The 16,427-nt window shown below is 42.1% G+C and overlaps 1 long non-coding RNA gene across 1 annotated transcript; it reads left to right on the top strand.

Annotated features, from left to right (window-relative positions):
* Nucleotides 1-189: 189 nt before the first annotated feature.
* Nucleotides 190-16,168, top strand: LOC124902123 (uncharacterized). The gene is made up of 3 exons (XR_007061423.1): nucleotides 190-273; nucleotides 3,462-3,612; nucleotides 16,082-16,168. It is a non-coding gene; the product is annotated as an uncharacterized LOC124902123 (long non-coding RNA).
* Nucleotides 16,169-16,427: the final 259 nt, after the last annotated feature.

A 16,427-nucleotide genomic window follows, 5' to 3' on the forward strand; every position in this document is an offset into this window, starting at 1 on the left:
TCCAGGAACCCCTTTCTGAGAATTCGGCAGGTCAGGCTGGATTCTGGACTTTAGTTTGTAGCAGAGAATAGTTGTTGTTAGAACGAAACACCCAGGCCGTTCACAATAAAACAATGTCAAAATCAAATAACCGAAAATTTATGCAGTTTAACGTCCTCCATGTAACGAAGGGAACTGGATTTTCCAGAGTCGCTCTTAAGTCAGTGGAGAACTATCTTCATACTTTCCTGGGTCTGAGATGCGTTTGTCTGGGTTGCAATGGGCATGAATAAAGTGAGTCTAACAGAAAGGAGGTGGGGGGAACAGCAGAAGGGTTCATCTTTCTTAGCATGGCATCCATTACCAATTCCTACACCGCTCCGTCACCCTCTACAGACCCTGAAAGTGGTAGGAAATGGAGACTTTTGTTGGAGTGCCTCTTGATTGTTTCTGATGAAAATATATCTAGTTATTGATATTCTACTATCAACACAAATAGGAAGGACAAAAAATAGAAACCCTAACAATATCAAGAGCATTGCCAGTTTTAGCATTTTGTATAGGTGTTTCTTGCCGGTTTTATTAGAAAAAAAAGTAAGTATTATAAGGAGAAATTAATTTACAATGAACCCTTGTTAACATACGTTAAATTTTGTAAAAAACTAAGAATACATTGGAGTTATAAAAAATAAAACCAGTTTCTATCAAGCTAAATTTTAATAATTAAATCTAAAAGGCAAAAACATGCACCTTGAAATTTTTTAAAAAATATAAATAGCCACACACATCTACATAGGAATATCTCCTGTTTCACAACTTTGTTGTAAATTTTGACTCATATTTTCCCTCCGATGCTGGGGATGTAAAAAAAAGTCAGCCTGACTATAAATAGAAGCACTGACAGTCTGACAGAAGAGTATCTCATAGTTTAAACTTTGTCTTTTACTTTTCAAATGCTAGTGATGATGGGCTGGGTGCGGTGGCTCATGCCTGCAATCCCAGCACTTTGGGAGTCCAAGGCTGGCAAATCACTTGAGGTCAGGAGTTCGAGACCAGCCTGGCCAACATGGTGAAACCCCATCTCTACTAAAAATACAAAAATAGCTGGGCCTGGTGGTGGGCGCCTGTAATTCTAGCTACTCAGGAGGCTGAGACACGAGAATCACTTGAACTCAGGAGGCGGAGGTTGCAGTGAGCCGAGATCATGATGCTGCACTCCAGCCAGGGTGAAGGAGCGAGACTCCATCTCAAAAAAATAAAAATAAAAAAGTTAGTGATGATGCATATTTCTTCTTTCTTGAATTGCCTATGTCCATTTTTTCCTGCTAGAGTTTTAGAATTTTTCTTACGCTACTGAGATTTTGAAACAGAAAAACTATTAACATTATTCTTGCCATATTTATGAAAAATACCATCCTAGATTATTACTTTTAAATTTTATGATGTTTTAGCATACAAAAGTTTTCTTTTTTTGTAGTAAAATCTGCTAATATTTTCCTTTGAGGTTTTACCTATTACTTTTATCCATTGAAACTTCACAGTCTGGCCAGGTGCAGTGGCTCACGCCTATAATCCCAACACTATGGGAGGCCGATGTGGGTGGATCACTTGGACCCAGGAGTTGGAGACCAACCTGAGCAACATGGTGAAACCCCATCTCTACAACAACAACAACAACAAAACAACAACAAAATAAGTTAGCTGGGCATGGTGGCGTACACCTGTAGTCCCAGCTATTCAAGAGGCTGAGGTGAGAGGATCACTTGGGCCTGGGAGGCAGAGGTTGCAGTGAGCTGAGATCTTGCCATTGCACTCCAGCCGGGGCGAAAGAGCGAGACCTTGTCTCAAAAAAAAAAAAAAGAAAGAAAAAGAAAACAAAGAAACTTCACAATCCTCAGAGCAGCTCAATATTCATGTACATTTAATGTAAGGATTTATGTCTCTAACTTGATATGATTATCTGCATAATCTATTTTTCCAATACTTTTTTTTTTGAGACTTAATCTCACTCTGTCATCAGGCTGGAGTACAGTGGCACCACCTAGGTTCACTGCAAGCTCCACCTCCCAGGTTTAAGCGGTTCTCCTGCCTCAGCCTCCTGAGTAGCTGGGATTACAGGTGCATGCCACGACACCCAGCTAATTTTCGTATTTTTGGTAGAGACGAGGTTTCACCATGTTGGCCAGGCAGTACTTGATCTCCTGACCTCGTGATCTGCCTGCCTTGGCCTCCCAAAGTGCTAGGATTACAGGCGTGAGCCACTGAGCCCAGCCCAATACTTTTTTATTGAGCTATAAATGTGCACAATGTAAAATTTACCATAAATTTTTTTTTTTTTTTTTGAGATGAAGTCCACTCTGTCACCCAGGCTGGAGTGCAGTGGCACGATCTTGGCTCACTGCAACCTCCATCTCCAGAGTTCAAGCGAGTCTCCTGTCTCGGCCTCCCAAGTACCTAAGATTGCAGGTGCATGCCACCATGCCTGGCTAACTTTTTATATTTTTAGTAGAGACAGGGTTTCATCATATTGGCCAGGCTGGTCTTGAAATCCTGACCTCAAGTGATCCACCTGCCTTGGCCTCCCAGTGTGCTGAGATTACAGGCCTGAACCACTGTGCCCAGCTCATAAAATTTTGAAGTGTTACAATTTAATGATTTGTAGTAGATTCACACAAAGTTGTGCAACTATCACCACTATCAAATTCCAGAATTCTTTTCATCATCCCCAAAAGAAACTCTGTGCCTATTAGGAGTCACTCCCCATTCCACTGTCCCCTCATCTCCTGGCAACCACTAAGCTACTTCCATCTATTCTGGGAATTTCCTGTTAATGGAATCATTTATGTGGTCTTTCATATCTGGCTTCTTTCACTTAGCATAATGTTTTCAAAATTCATCCATGTAGCAGCATGAATCAGTACCTCCTGACTTTTTTTTTGGCTAATATCCCAATGTATTAGTACACTGTATTTTATTATCCATGTATCAGTTGATGGACATTTAAACATTCATGTACAAGTTTCTGTGTGGATGTACATCTTTAACTCTCTTGGGTATCTACCTAGGAGTGAAACTCCAATACTTTTTGTTTAATAATGCCTTTCCCAGTGATTGATGATTCTTTCTTTATCATACATTAAATTCCTTGTTTCAGGGCTTTCCCATCTGTTCTGCTGTCCTGTCACTTCTTTTGCAAATACAAGACCTTTCCAGTTTTAGTAGATGTATGTTTTATGCGCTCATAGGGCAAGACACCCCTAACTTTCCTTTCTTAAATTCTCTTATTGCTGCTTATTCTTCCCTCTCAGCTTTAGAATCTATTTGTCATACCACTGGTATTTTGACTGGAGATGGGAAATTGATTTGGGAAAAACTGATATATTTGCAATATTTTATCTTTCTATCCACAGATATGGTCTCTCTTCTTTTATTCAAGTCTTCTACTATACCTCCCACTAAATTTTGTGACTTTCCTCATACAGGACTCACCCATTTTTTGTTAAAGAATAACTAGATAATCTAGCCTCTGAGGGGGTGACAGCTGGACTCAACTGATGAGAAGAAGTGAACCAAGCAAAGACTTGAGGGAAGTCAACTCCAGGCACAGCAAAGGATGAGTGCAAAGGCTATGAGGTGAGCCCAGTTGGCAGGAATAGGGAGAAGGTGAGTGTGGCTGGGACAAAGTGATCAAGGAAGAGTAGAAGAAGTTGAAGTTGGACTTAGGCAGGCCCAGATCAAATAGAGACATAGAGGCCACATGATGAGCTTAGACTTTTGCCTTATGCAAATTGAAAGCCATGGGAGACTTTAAAGCAGGCACTGACATGGACTTGCATGAGGGCAACTACCCCTGGTCTAGCTAGGAAGTTGCCCTCTCAATGTGACCATGTGGCTTCCTGACCTGTGGTCAGTGCCAAGACCTAACAGACAGACAGGAACTTGAGACAGCTAGAAGAAGTCAGTCCATAAATACCTGTGAGTGGCTCATCAGGATCACTAACCCCACAAGCCACACACTTATTGTGCTAGAGGCTGGTCCTGAACTCACCAGCACCACCAAAGGGAACTGGAGGTCCCAGAGAAAGGCAACCCTAATTCCCCATCTACCTTCACATGCCTACAAAAAAGCCCACATGATGACTGTAGCCATGAACACTTCTGGAGAGAAAGTAGCAGGCAAATACCCTCCTCCCACCAGCCTGCCCACCCTTCTCCCTCAAAGCTGCTACCAGAAAAAGTGTTGTGGGACGGGCATTTCCAATACCAAGGAAGGTGCCAGGAGTCACCAAACCACCCACAAATCTTAAGGGGATTGCCGTGGCCTCTTAGTCACCCAGCCGGAAGCTGCTATCTTCCTGGCAGGAATTGCCTCCCCCTCTACCCCTGCTATTGTGCCAGATGTTCAGGTTGCCTGAATACGTCTGCCCTGGTGGATTACTTCAGGCACCCCTGCCCAAGAACATTCATGGATGCCACACCTGGAACCTACTTGACCAACACTTCTAATGATTTTGTAAGCACCTAATTTCCTGTATTAAATTCTTTTCTTCTTAAAGTACCTAGAGTGATTTCTGTTGAACACTGACTAATATTCAAATAGCAGCACCAACACTCTGCCATGAGAGATGCAGCATGAGTTTGTGTCCTCAGCAATCTCTATCATCTTCCACTCCGTCTATTCACCTTGCTCTGTGAAACCATTCTGCCCAGCCACTGTCCTGGTGAGGCAACTGCCTCCACTTGCAACCTTCCCCTCTCTATGCTAAGGCCGAGTCCTGTGTTAAACCCATAAGAATCTTTTAGATTTCTTTTCTGTCTATTCTCTGTGGCCCTCCCAGAAGGCAACACAACCTGAGGTCCCCAGCAGAGGCAAGTCCACGAAAGGACTTCTGACACCAGCAATCCACGGGTTCATTCAACACATACTGAAGGTCTATGTTTTGCCAAGGCTGTTTGCAAGAGACCACAAAATTTCTGAAAGTCCCTGCATCAGCAAATGATTGATATAAAGGTAATCCTGCAGGGTACCAAAAGGTAGCCAAATTGTCCTTTCCAATCAACTTTCCATTGACATTTGAAAAAGGAAAAGAGGGTTGGGCACAGTGGCTCACGCCTGTAATCCCAGCACTTTGGGAGGCCATGGTGAGCAGATCATGAAGTTAGGAGTTCGAGACCAGCCTGGCCAACATGGCAAAACTCCGTCTTTACTAGGGATACAAAAATTAGCTCGGCATGGTGGCGGGCACCTGTAATCCCAGCTACTCGGGAGGTTGAGGCAGGAGAATCACTTGAACCCAGGAGGCGGAGGTTGCTCCAGCCTGGGCAACAAGAGCAAGACTCCATCTCAAAAAAAAAAAAGGAAAAGAGGACGTCAGTGTTTTGCCCCTGCTGCAGCATGCCAAGTTGTCTGGAGTACAGCAGAAAGCTTGGCAAAGTGGATTGAAGCACTTGCCTGAGCCTGCTGCTCCTGCAGCTCCAAAACCAAATGGGAGATTTTCAGTGGGGCAGACCCCTCTCATGGACGAACTTCACACAGGTGGAAGACAAGGTGGGAAAGTGGGAAAGCGGGAAAGCTCATTCAATCTTGAAACAATCAGAATATTTCTGCACAAGGCAAAGAGACTTGTCCTTTGTGTGCTGTGTGTGCATACAAGAACACACACACATATATACACTGCCTTGGTAGTCTTGGGGGAAAGCAATCTCTCGTGGTGCCTTGGAACTTCAAGCAAATGCTACCTGGTGCTGTGGATTTTGCCCTTTGGCCAACAGACTGTCTTCTGAATTGGTTCAAGTCTACGTAGGGTTTAGTATACAAAAAAAAAACAAAGATATTTTATTGGTTAAAGTGCAGTGAGTGGAATTTCATTTAATTATTAGTGAAACTGGTTTTTTTAGTACTTTTTTTGTATTGGTCTGCTCCAATAAAGCCTAGCCACTCTACATAAGTGCTCTGACTACCCCCAGTCAGCCTCACTCAGAAGGAGCCTTTCTCTGGCCTTCCCCTGGGGCATCTGGAAACAACAGACTCTGGTCCACGCTATTATATGATCTGCCCAAAGTCCCACCAGCAGCATTGTTATCCCTCCTGAGCAGATGGGGCTGACAGTGCCCACCTCTGAGGTTTGCAGCGTGACAGCCACCCTCCCCAGACAGATCTCCACAATGCAGTTCTTGGCCTTGAAGCATGAGTGCCGGGACCTTAATTCCCTCCTTTTTCCCTTTCCCCACTCAGTCAAAGGGTGGAGGTAAATGGCTATAAAGCTTGTTTTCTTGCACTTATATCTAATAAGCTGGGTTCTCTGAATTAGGCCTACTTAGAAAAGAAGTTTTAGAACTTAGACACCTATGCCCACTGGAAATGCACAGAAAATGTTGCATGAGGGCCTTTCCCCAAACTAAAGAATGGAATGTCCTATTGGCAGACTTTCTACTCTTTTCTTAATATTTCATTTTTGGTATCTGTGTTTCTTCCATTAATTGCCATTTTCATCCTTTTAATTTTGTATAATTGCCTACCATTTAAAACCCTTCCTATTTCAGTAGGTGCCCGGTCATTGATACTCAACATTATTTGAACAATTTGGTATAACAAAACAAATAAAATATACCATAGAGAAGAAAAAAGTGTACATTTGCTTGGAATAACAACAAAAATGACATCCATTGCAATCATCAATCGTCCACATTACACACGAACTGAGGTCTGAACCCAGAGACTTCAGAATGGGATGAAAGGCCTAGGAGGTTCCCAGCTTTCCTTCTATCTATCATTCTCAGCCAGTGAAGACTGAAAGCACGACATACCTTCCTGAGTTTGCCAAGGAAAAGTCCAACAGAATCTCCTTTGGTCATTTGAAATCCTGTTTTAAGGCTAAACAAACGTCCAAGCCACAAACCAGGATAAAGAAGCACAACCTCAATGACTGTCCCAGGTGACAGCTTGGAAGCCCAACCTGAGTTTAATCTCCAGCTCAAATGTGAATTACCTGTGTTGTTTTATTGCAACACATCCAACAAAGATAGGGAACAACGCAGCCTTAGCCTCATCTCCAGGTCCTTCCCAAAAAGGGGCTACTGTCAGAAGAGCTGAAAGTGGCTGGAAAGCTAGAGACTGTTAGCAGCATCCATAAGAGAGTCAACAAAAGGCTGTAACAAGAGGCCAGTTGGTGGCTGGCTGGCTGCTAGAGGCCACGTGGAGGAAGAAATTTGCTGGCCTTGGAATAGGAGTCTTTTCCTTTGGACTAAGCTTTAAAGAGTCTTCCTTTGGAGAGCAGAAGATTGCTCAAATAAAGAAAGAAACCAGCTTTATTAAAAAAAAAAAAAAACAGGTGAGAAAGGAACAAGATGAAATCAAATCTATTATGCTTCCTAAGATTTTGGAAGACTTCCAGGGACCAATGTTAGGGAAAATGAAAATTGAGCATCAAATGTTAATGGAAAAATCACTATCGGGGATGTGGAAAAATAAAGTTAATCTGGAAGGAAAAATGGAACAAATGTTGAATGTGTGGGCTTCCCAGTGGCTTGTATAAGAGCCACGAAAATGGATTTTAAGTATAGAAGATTCTGTTGACCTGGTATTGACTTGTTGCTCCATGACCAAATGGGGGACACAGGGTTTTAGCATCAGTTATTGAGATTTTGTGCTCCCTCAGTCCCCTCATTCGCCCCAACAATATCGCCCAAGAATGATTATCCAGCCAAGGATTATTTTGATAATCAAAATCATGGACACTTACTATTTTTTGTGTGTTTGTGTAAACTAAGTCTAGGGACACAGAGCTCATCTAGGAAGATGAGGAGGAGGGCATCCTAAAGGTACATGGTAGTGCTCCAATCTGCAATACCGTCCCTCCCCGCACCCTCACGCCATCTCACTTTCTGCTTAGACAGCAATAACAGGTGCCTCTCCACCTCGTCCTCCCCATTCCCCGAAAAAAGATTTGTAGAATTTAAGATGTGAAAAGCTGGGAACCACTGCACTAAACCACACTGTATCCAGTACTCCATACACAGATTGCCAAATGGCTGAAGAACAAGGTCTAGCCCTTAAAACGAATGAAGCTGGATGGCTAAAAGAGCATTGCAACAGAAATCTTTGTTCTACAAATGAACTGAACCTACCCAGACGGTCCTAACCATAAGGCCTATGGCATCCTTTCTAAGAGCCACAGTTTTGTTGACAAGGAACACCATGCTGCTATTTTTAAAGGAAGCATTCATCTTTCTGACAGCTAGTCAGTAAGTCACCTTTTGTGGTCAAACTTTGCGTGATTTGGCCTTAGGAAGCTCACCTGGGCGAGAAAGGGTAGGGGAAGAATGTGTCCTTCTTCCTACTGGATAAAAGCTATGCATAAATCTCAGACAAAAATTAGAGAAAAAAAAAGAATCCCCCATGGCGCTAAAATGTCAGAATATACATTTCCTAATAGATTAACAAGTACTATAAATATTTACATGATCTGCTGATATACCTAACTTGTAGGGGGAATATGGGAACAGGGGAAGAAGCAGCCAGATAAATATTAAAGCGTATTTTTAAAATAATTATGCTGTAATCATTTTTTTTTAAATCCATTTTCCTGAAATAAGGGATTCCGTCTCTTTTCGGAGAAGCCATTTAATAGCCAAATTAAAGAGAGGTTAGCTCCATCACTACACCGGTTCCCTTATCACCACTCTAATCTCCATGGTCACCCAGAGTTTGCCAACTAGAATTTTGGATGAATTAAGATTTGCTTATTTAATAATGTAGAGGAGATCAGGAAATAGGTGGTGTCTCAAGACTTTAAATGAACACATGCCTTCAGTCTGGGTTTTAAGAAGTTTTATTGTTATAAGTAACTTCAGACACAGAAATAAAAAGAAAAAAGAGAAATGTTTTTCTCTTTTAATAAAGAAAAATATAAAGCCTCCAACATATTATTAAAATGACTTTGCTTTTAATTTCAACATAGAAGTTCTCTGTTTAAAACTATTAATAGTTTATTAACATAAATCTTTAGTGAGTGAAGAAAAAAATGAGATGGAAAACTTTCAGGGCTGGAATGAGCTCTTATTTTCCATTTAATATTTGGGTAGGAACAATTCTTGGAAATGATCACAAACGCAATAATTACTGGCTTAATCCTAAATAGATTTGCAGCCGTTCCTTTTCGTGTTATTTTTGGCATGCTGGCTGTGGCATGCTGTAATGTTGACATAACTGGTTTCTCAGAAAACAAGATTTGTGACAATTTGCTCCATTCTGCTCCAAAGACAATCAATCTGAGGCTTTCAAAGCAGGGCTAAAAATGCACACAAATCTCCCCCCTCGCAGCTGCTTCTTGTTTAACATTGTCAAATTTTCTTAATTAAAATTTGAGATTTTATGCTTGGCTTCCTCTCCCCTTCCTCTAAAGCTCAAATGACACTTTGCCTTTTTTAGCTATATGGAAGTCTACAAAAAGCCAGACAAAGGCCCTAATTGTTTTATCAGAAGACCTCATTTTTAAGTTTGTGCTTAGTATTTTTCATCTATATTACATTTTATCCAATCTGAATCTTAGCAGGCTTAATTCAGCTTTGAGGGTGAACAGAACATGTATTTCACCCAAAATCATAATTACTGATGAAATATTGGAGGCATTTCCTGAGGTTTTCTCATAAGTCTTCAGTCACATGGCTTTCAATGCCATCTGCATACCAAAGACTCACAACTTTTTATCTCAACCCAAGCCTCTTTTCCAAATTCCAGTGTCATTTATCTAATTGCCCTCTCAACATCAAGATGTCTTATAAGATCCTTAATAAGGATCTTAAACTCATTATGTCCATAATGCCTTCTGAGCATTCCTCCAAAACCTGCTCAGTCTGCCACTTTGCCCATCTCAGCTGATGCAACTCCACCCTTCTGGTCATTCAGGCCCAAACCCCAGACATCATACTATGGTCTGGGTCACTGTGATGGCCTCGTCTCCTGCTTCTACCTCATCCACCTCACTCTACCCTCAATATCCAGTCTTTTCAAAACTTGTTAGCCCATGCCACTCCTTTGCTGAAAACTGCAATGGTTGCTCATTTCAGTCAGGGTAAAAGTCAAAGTTTTTTAAATGGCCCCATTACATTCTGAAGATTACTTATAAACCTGCCATTCAGAGACAATATTATAGGTCTCTTGCTTTTCTGCATACCTCAAAGAAAAGGTACTGACTGGCTTTGTTCCAGACTAGCTTTTCAAAACTGTTTGGAATGAGCAGCTTTGTAAGATATAGTGTCTCCCCCCAGAGAAGAAGGCAGGTTTGCTTACTGTTCAGTGTGAGGCAAAGAGAATGTCTATCTTCCGAGGAAAGGGCAAGAAAGTTTGCTTGCAGTCTGTTATAAAAGATTCAGGTTTGGCCAGGCGTGATGGCTCATGCCTGTAATCCCAGCACTTTGGGAAGCCGAGGCGGACGGATCACAAGGTCAGGAGTTCGAGACCAGCCTGGCCAACATGGTGAAACCCTGTGTCTACTAAAAATACAAAAATTAGCCAGGTGTGGTGGCAGGCACCTATAACCCCGGCTACTCGGGAGGCCTTGGCAGGCAAATCACTCAAAACCGGAAGGCAGAGGTTGCAGTGAGCCCAGATTGCACCACTGCATTCCAGCCTGGGAGAAAGAGCAAAACCCCATCTCAAAAAAAAAAAAAAAAAAAAAGATTCAGGTTCCCTGAGAGGCTCCTCTGCTGTGACACAAACCCATTGAGGGTGCAGCAGCCACCTGAGCCCCTCCACATCACCCTTGTGGGACTTGGCAGGCAAGGGGAATTGACACAAATGTGCCAGTGTTCATGACGCTTGTTGTGCCATGAGTAATAAAGCATTTTTTTCTCTGACCCAGGATTCTCATGTCTTCTGCCAGAATCCACAAAACTGTGCAGGCTAACCTTGTTAGCTTGCAAGAAGAGTAAAATCTGACTTTCGTCAGTACTTAACCACCTATGTGACTCGTCTCCTGCTACTGTCCCCTCAGTGCCTCAGGCCAGCCACATGGTCTCCTTGATGTCCTCAGAACACATTTGGCACACCCTTTCTTAAAGCCTTTGTATGGGCTTTTGTTTTCTTCCTGAAATGCTCTTCCCCCAGATATCAATTTAGCTCCCTCCCCTCTGTCAAGTCTTTGCTCTAACTTGACCTTCTTGATGAAGCCAGCTGTAACCATCTTTTTTAAAACTACAACTGACATCCTTCCCCACCTCAGCATCCCCAGGTCCCCTTACTTGGATACCTTTTCTCTTTCCAAATGCACCTATCACCTTCTACAGATTATTTAGGGGTCAGTGAATGTTTTTTTAACAAGTCAGATAGTAAATATTTTAAGTTTGTTTGCCTTAGATATCTGTTGCAACTATCCAACTCTGCTGGTGTATTTTGAAAGCAGCTGTAGATAATATGCAAATGAATGGGCATGGCTGTGTTCTAGAACACTACTTATAAAATAGGCAGTCTGCCTGAGGGCCTTAAATTGCCAACCCCTGCATTATATAATTTACTTATCCCATTTATTGTGTAATGCCTGACCCATCCCATTAGAATATAAGCTCCAAGAAGGACACAATCTGTTTATTCACCAGTATTTTCCAAGTGCCTGGAGCCGTCTGACAGGAAATAGTAGGAACTCAATCAACATTTGCAAACAAAAGTGTCATCAGGGAACATATAGTTGTGGATCACTTTTCAAGTAACCTAAACCAGAGTTAGATTCCAAATGATAGATGATATTTTGGGGGTAACTTACCTGGGTTATAATGACCACTTACCCTTAACTATCCCACTCACCAGTCCATAGGGTGAACTTCCAGCAGCCATGTTTGTTCCAAATGACCCTGTTCTCTTAGTTACAATTGTTTGAAGGGAGGGTCACCACACCTCTCCCAAGCTAGGCCAATAAAAACTCCCCCTATGAGGACTTGTAACCTGTACTGAGAAAGAGGGTCACAGAATTCTAATATGTGAACTCAGAACCATGGATAGATGGGTAGAATTGTACCTACCTGTCTCCTTGAATCTGGGCATAGCCACATGACTTGCTTAGACCAATGAAATATGGATGGAAGTGATCCATGTGAAAATTCTGGATGGAAGCTTTAAAAGTCAATGTGATTTTCAATAAATGGTGATGGGACAACAGGATATCCACATGCAAAAGAATGAAGTTGAACCTCTACCTCACATCATATACTCAAATTACTTCAAACTGGATCAAAGATCCAAATTTAAGAGTTAAACTATACAACTCTTAGAAGAAAACATAGGTATAAATCTGTATGACCTTGGATTAGGCAATGGACTTTTAGATATGATACTAAAATCACAAGCAACCAAAAAAACAAAAACAAAAACAAAAACAAAACAGATAAATTGGACCTCACAAAAATTAAAAACTTTTATGTCAAAGGACACTATCAAAAAAATGAAAAGACAAATCACAGAACAAAATATTTGCAAATCACGTATCTGATAAAGATGTAGTAAGAAAACCAAATTTTAAAATGGGCGAAAGCTTTGAATAGCTTTTTCTCTCCAAAGCAAATACATAAATGGTCAAAAAGTACGTGAAAAATGCTCAATATCATTAGTCATTAGAAAAATACAAATCAGGCTGGCGTGATGGCTCATGCCTGTAATCCCAGCACTTTGGGAGGCCAAGATGGGTGAATCACCTGAGGTCAGGAGTTTGATGCCAGCCTGGCCAACATGATGAAACCCTATCTCTACTAAAAATACAAAAATTAGCTGGGCATGGTGGCGCATGCCTGTAATCCCAGCTACTTGGGAGGCTGAGGCAGGAGAATCACTTGAACCCGGGAGGCAGAGGTTGCAGTGAGCCAAGATCACACCACTGCACTCCAGCCTGGGTGACAGAGCGAGACTCCATCTCAAAAAAAAAAAAAAGAAAGAAAGAAAGAAAAAAGAAAAATACATATCAAAAACCACAATGAGATACCACTCATTATCTTGTATTTTAATACAAAGTAAATTTTGTATTAAAGGCAAAATTACAGCTGTAAATAGGTCAGTGTTTTCCTGGGCCTAAGAGGTTGAGTTTAGGGATTGACAGCAAAGGGACAAGAGGGAACTTTTTGAGGTGATAGGTGCGTTCTAAAACTGGATTATGGTGATGGCTGCACAAAAGTACACATTTACTAAATGTAGACCTGTTTTTAAAAGGAGTAAATTTAATGGTATTTAAATTATACCTCAATAAAGGCATTCTTTTTTTTTTAAAGCCAGTATGCAATTTGCCAAACTTCTCTTTGCCATGGCAATGAGTATAATCCTAGATGGTGAGGGTCCAATGGCCTCCACAGTGCAGAACAAGGTTCTCTACTGACCAAAAATGCACATGTAGTGTGAGCAAGAAAAAAACTGTTATTTTAAGCCGCTGAGACATGTGGGGCTGTTTGTTACTGTTGCATATGCTAGCCCATTCTAATTAATACAGAAATCAGTCCAGAGATGGTATTGGCTCAAGTTAATATTAAGTTTCATTAATTAAGGCAACAGGAATGAGTAATGTCTTAGACACACTGTGGTGTGGTTATTTGGCATATGATGCTGTATCAAATAGAATAAATTTTTTAGAAAATTGTACTACTGAAGAACCACCTGCACTGAAAAAGGCTGACTTTTTGAAACTTAAAATGATCCTTTGGCCCCAGTGTGAGGCAGGAAAGGTTGAGAAAGTTGTTCTGCTCCTGGGGAGGGCAATTTCTTTGACAGTCTCTTCAGATATGGCAAAGAAAAATCACAGAAAATAAAAAAAATCTCTCAGAAGGTGAACCCAGATGCCACAGAGACTAATGAACAAGAGCACTACTCCAGGAAATGGGCTCAAGGCCCAATCAAAGAACATTCTCTATTCTCAAGATATGGAAGCTCAAAACATGAGATTTCAGAATCATTACAGACCAGTGCTCACTGTGGTTTCCCATGCTTCACTTTTCATCTTCTAAATGGGAGTGTTCACTGTGGTTATCCCACTTCTGTTCAATCAGTGTCTTAGTTCATTCTGTGTTGCTATAATGGTATGCCACAGACTTGTAATTTATAAACAAATTTCTTCCTTAGTCCTGGAGGCTGGGAAGTCCAAGGTCAAGGGGCTCGCATCTGGTAAGAGCCTTCATGCTGTGTCATCCCAAAGTGGAAGGCAAAAGGGCAAGAGAGTGCAAGAAAGCAAGAAGGAAAGAGAGCAAGAGAGGGCCAGACTTGCTTTCACAAAAACCCACTCCTGCAATATCAAACCCTCTCCCAAGATAACATTAATCCATTCATGAGGATGGGCCCTCTTCACAGTCCTACCTCTTAATACCATCACTATGGCAATTAAATTTCAATGAGTTTTACTGGGCACATTCAAACCACAGAAACCAGTACATACATTGTGTGTTGAGGGCAAATAACTGTTAAGCCCACGGTGTCCAGATCAATTGGAGCCACATTTGGATTCAAAATAAGACAAGAGGGCATGCCACAGAGATGTTACAACCAGAAGGGATTTTTTTTCCCCAAGATGGAGTCTCACTGTGTTGCCCAGGCTGGAGTGCAATGGCACGATCTCAGCTCACTGCAACCTCCACCTCCTGGGTTCAAGCAATTCTCCTGCCTCAGCTTCCCCAGTAGCTAGGATTACGGGCACCTGAAACCATGCCCAGCTAATTTTTGTATTTTTAGTAGAGACAGGGTTTCACCTTGTTGGCCAGGCTGGTCTCGAACTGCTGACCTCAGGCAATCTGCCCACCTCAACCTCCCAAAGCACTGGGATTACAGGCATGAGCCACTTCGCCTGGCCCCAGAAGGGATTTTTGTTGTTACATCCCTTGGTGGAGAAGTGAGCGTATTTTGTGTGTAGGAAAAAGAGTGAATCAGATATCTGGCAACCAGAAAGATAGTCATTTGTGCTACTCACCATCTACTTCTGGTGCTTCTTCCAGACACATTAGCATTGTACTTTCCTGCTCAGTTGAAGTTAGGTAAAGCTGTGTCATTTGCTTTGGACATGAAATATATGTCACTTCCAGGTGGAAGCTGTAAGACTAAGACAGCCAGTTAAAAGGGGTCACTGGAGAACCTCCAACCAGCCTGGGCACTGGGAAGAGTATACAATGGGGTGGAGCATACACTGGGGTGGAGCCTCGGGAAGTTCACGCTATTTGCAGTGGGGAAGAGCCTGGCCTCTCCTGTTCCGAGGTGGTACATGGGATTCAATCTGTGAGGCGGGAAGCCTGCTAGCAGGACTCTTGCTTTGCCAAGCATCCCTGTTTCCTCTTTTTTTTTTTTTTTTTTTTTCCTTTTCACCTAATAAACCCTGCCGTTCTCACCCTTCAAAGTGTCTGTGAGCCTAATCTTTCAAGGTAGTGTAACAAGAACCCGGCTTTTAACAGAACTAAGGAGAAAGTCCTACAACAAGACCATTTTATATACACCATGCCTCCTTCCTCTTCTCATTCTAGATAGTGGAGTCTCTGGCAATCCAGGGCCCTGTGTGAGGATAATATGGAGCTGATCCCTCCCTGGCCTGAAATAGAGATGGAGCATGAGAGGAAAATAAGCCTTTGCTGTTGTGGACATATTCCTCCCATCAAGTCTCTTCAGGAAGCACAGGAGAGACAGAAGAAATATTCTCCAAGTCTCTAAAGCTTTTCTATTCTGAATTTAAATACTTCCTGAGTATCTCCCACATTCTTGCCCCTGAATTCCACAGGCACCCTTTATCCATTTACTAGATAGCTGTTCAAGTTTTTGTTTTTAAACAAGCTCAAGTTGATTACACTGAGTTGTAACTGATGCATTCATAAATCTATCAAGCTTCTCATGCCAAAGAACAAAGGAAAGACAAGCAGGAAGGCATGGGACACATTGGGAGAATCACAGTGGACCCAGCCCAAGTGGGAATGTGGCAGAGACAAGCTAACTGTTCACCATACCCATTGCCTCTTTTTCCTGAGCCCATGGCTAGACTATATTCCTCTGCCTCTTTTGTCATGAGGCAAAGCAGTGACTGAGTTCTAGCTAACGGAACTTAAACAGATATGTACCACCTTCCTCACACACCCCTCCATGCTTTGTCCCCTTCAATAGCTTGATGCAAAAGACCACAGTGACCTTAGCAGATGTGTGAAGACAGCAGAGCCACAAGACTGAAAGAACCGCGATTACTGAATCACATCATGAAAACCCACCCTCTGACAGAAACAACTGGTTTGTGATGGACATCTGTTTGCCTTATCTCACATAGGGGAGGAGGGGAAGAATTTAATCTTGGATTAGCCCTTTGTGGTTTTGCATACCCCCTTCTCTGATCCTCCTTAGAGGTGAATAAAGTAGTGGAATGGTCCCCATTTTACAGCTGTGTTAGGCAAAGTTCAGAGAAGTTAATGGCTAGGGAGGGGGAGCACAGGCCACAGTCTAGCCAAAGCCAGCCTCA

The sequence above is a fragment of the Homo sapiens genome, chromosome 9 (genome assembly GCF_000001405.40).
Source record: "Homo sapiens chromosome 9, GRCh38.p14 Primary Assembly".
NCBI lineage: Eukaryota > Metazoa > Chordata > Mammalia > Primates > Hominidae > Homo > Homo sapiens.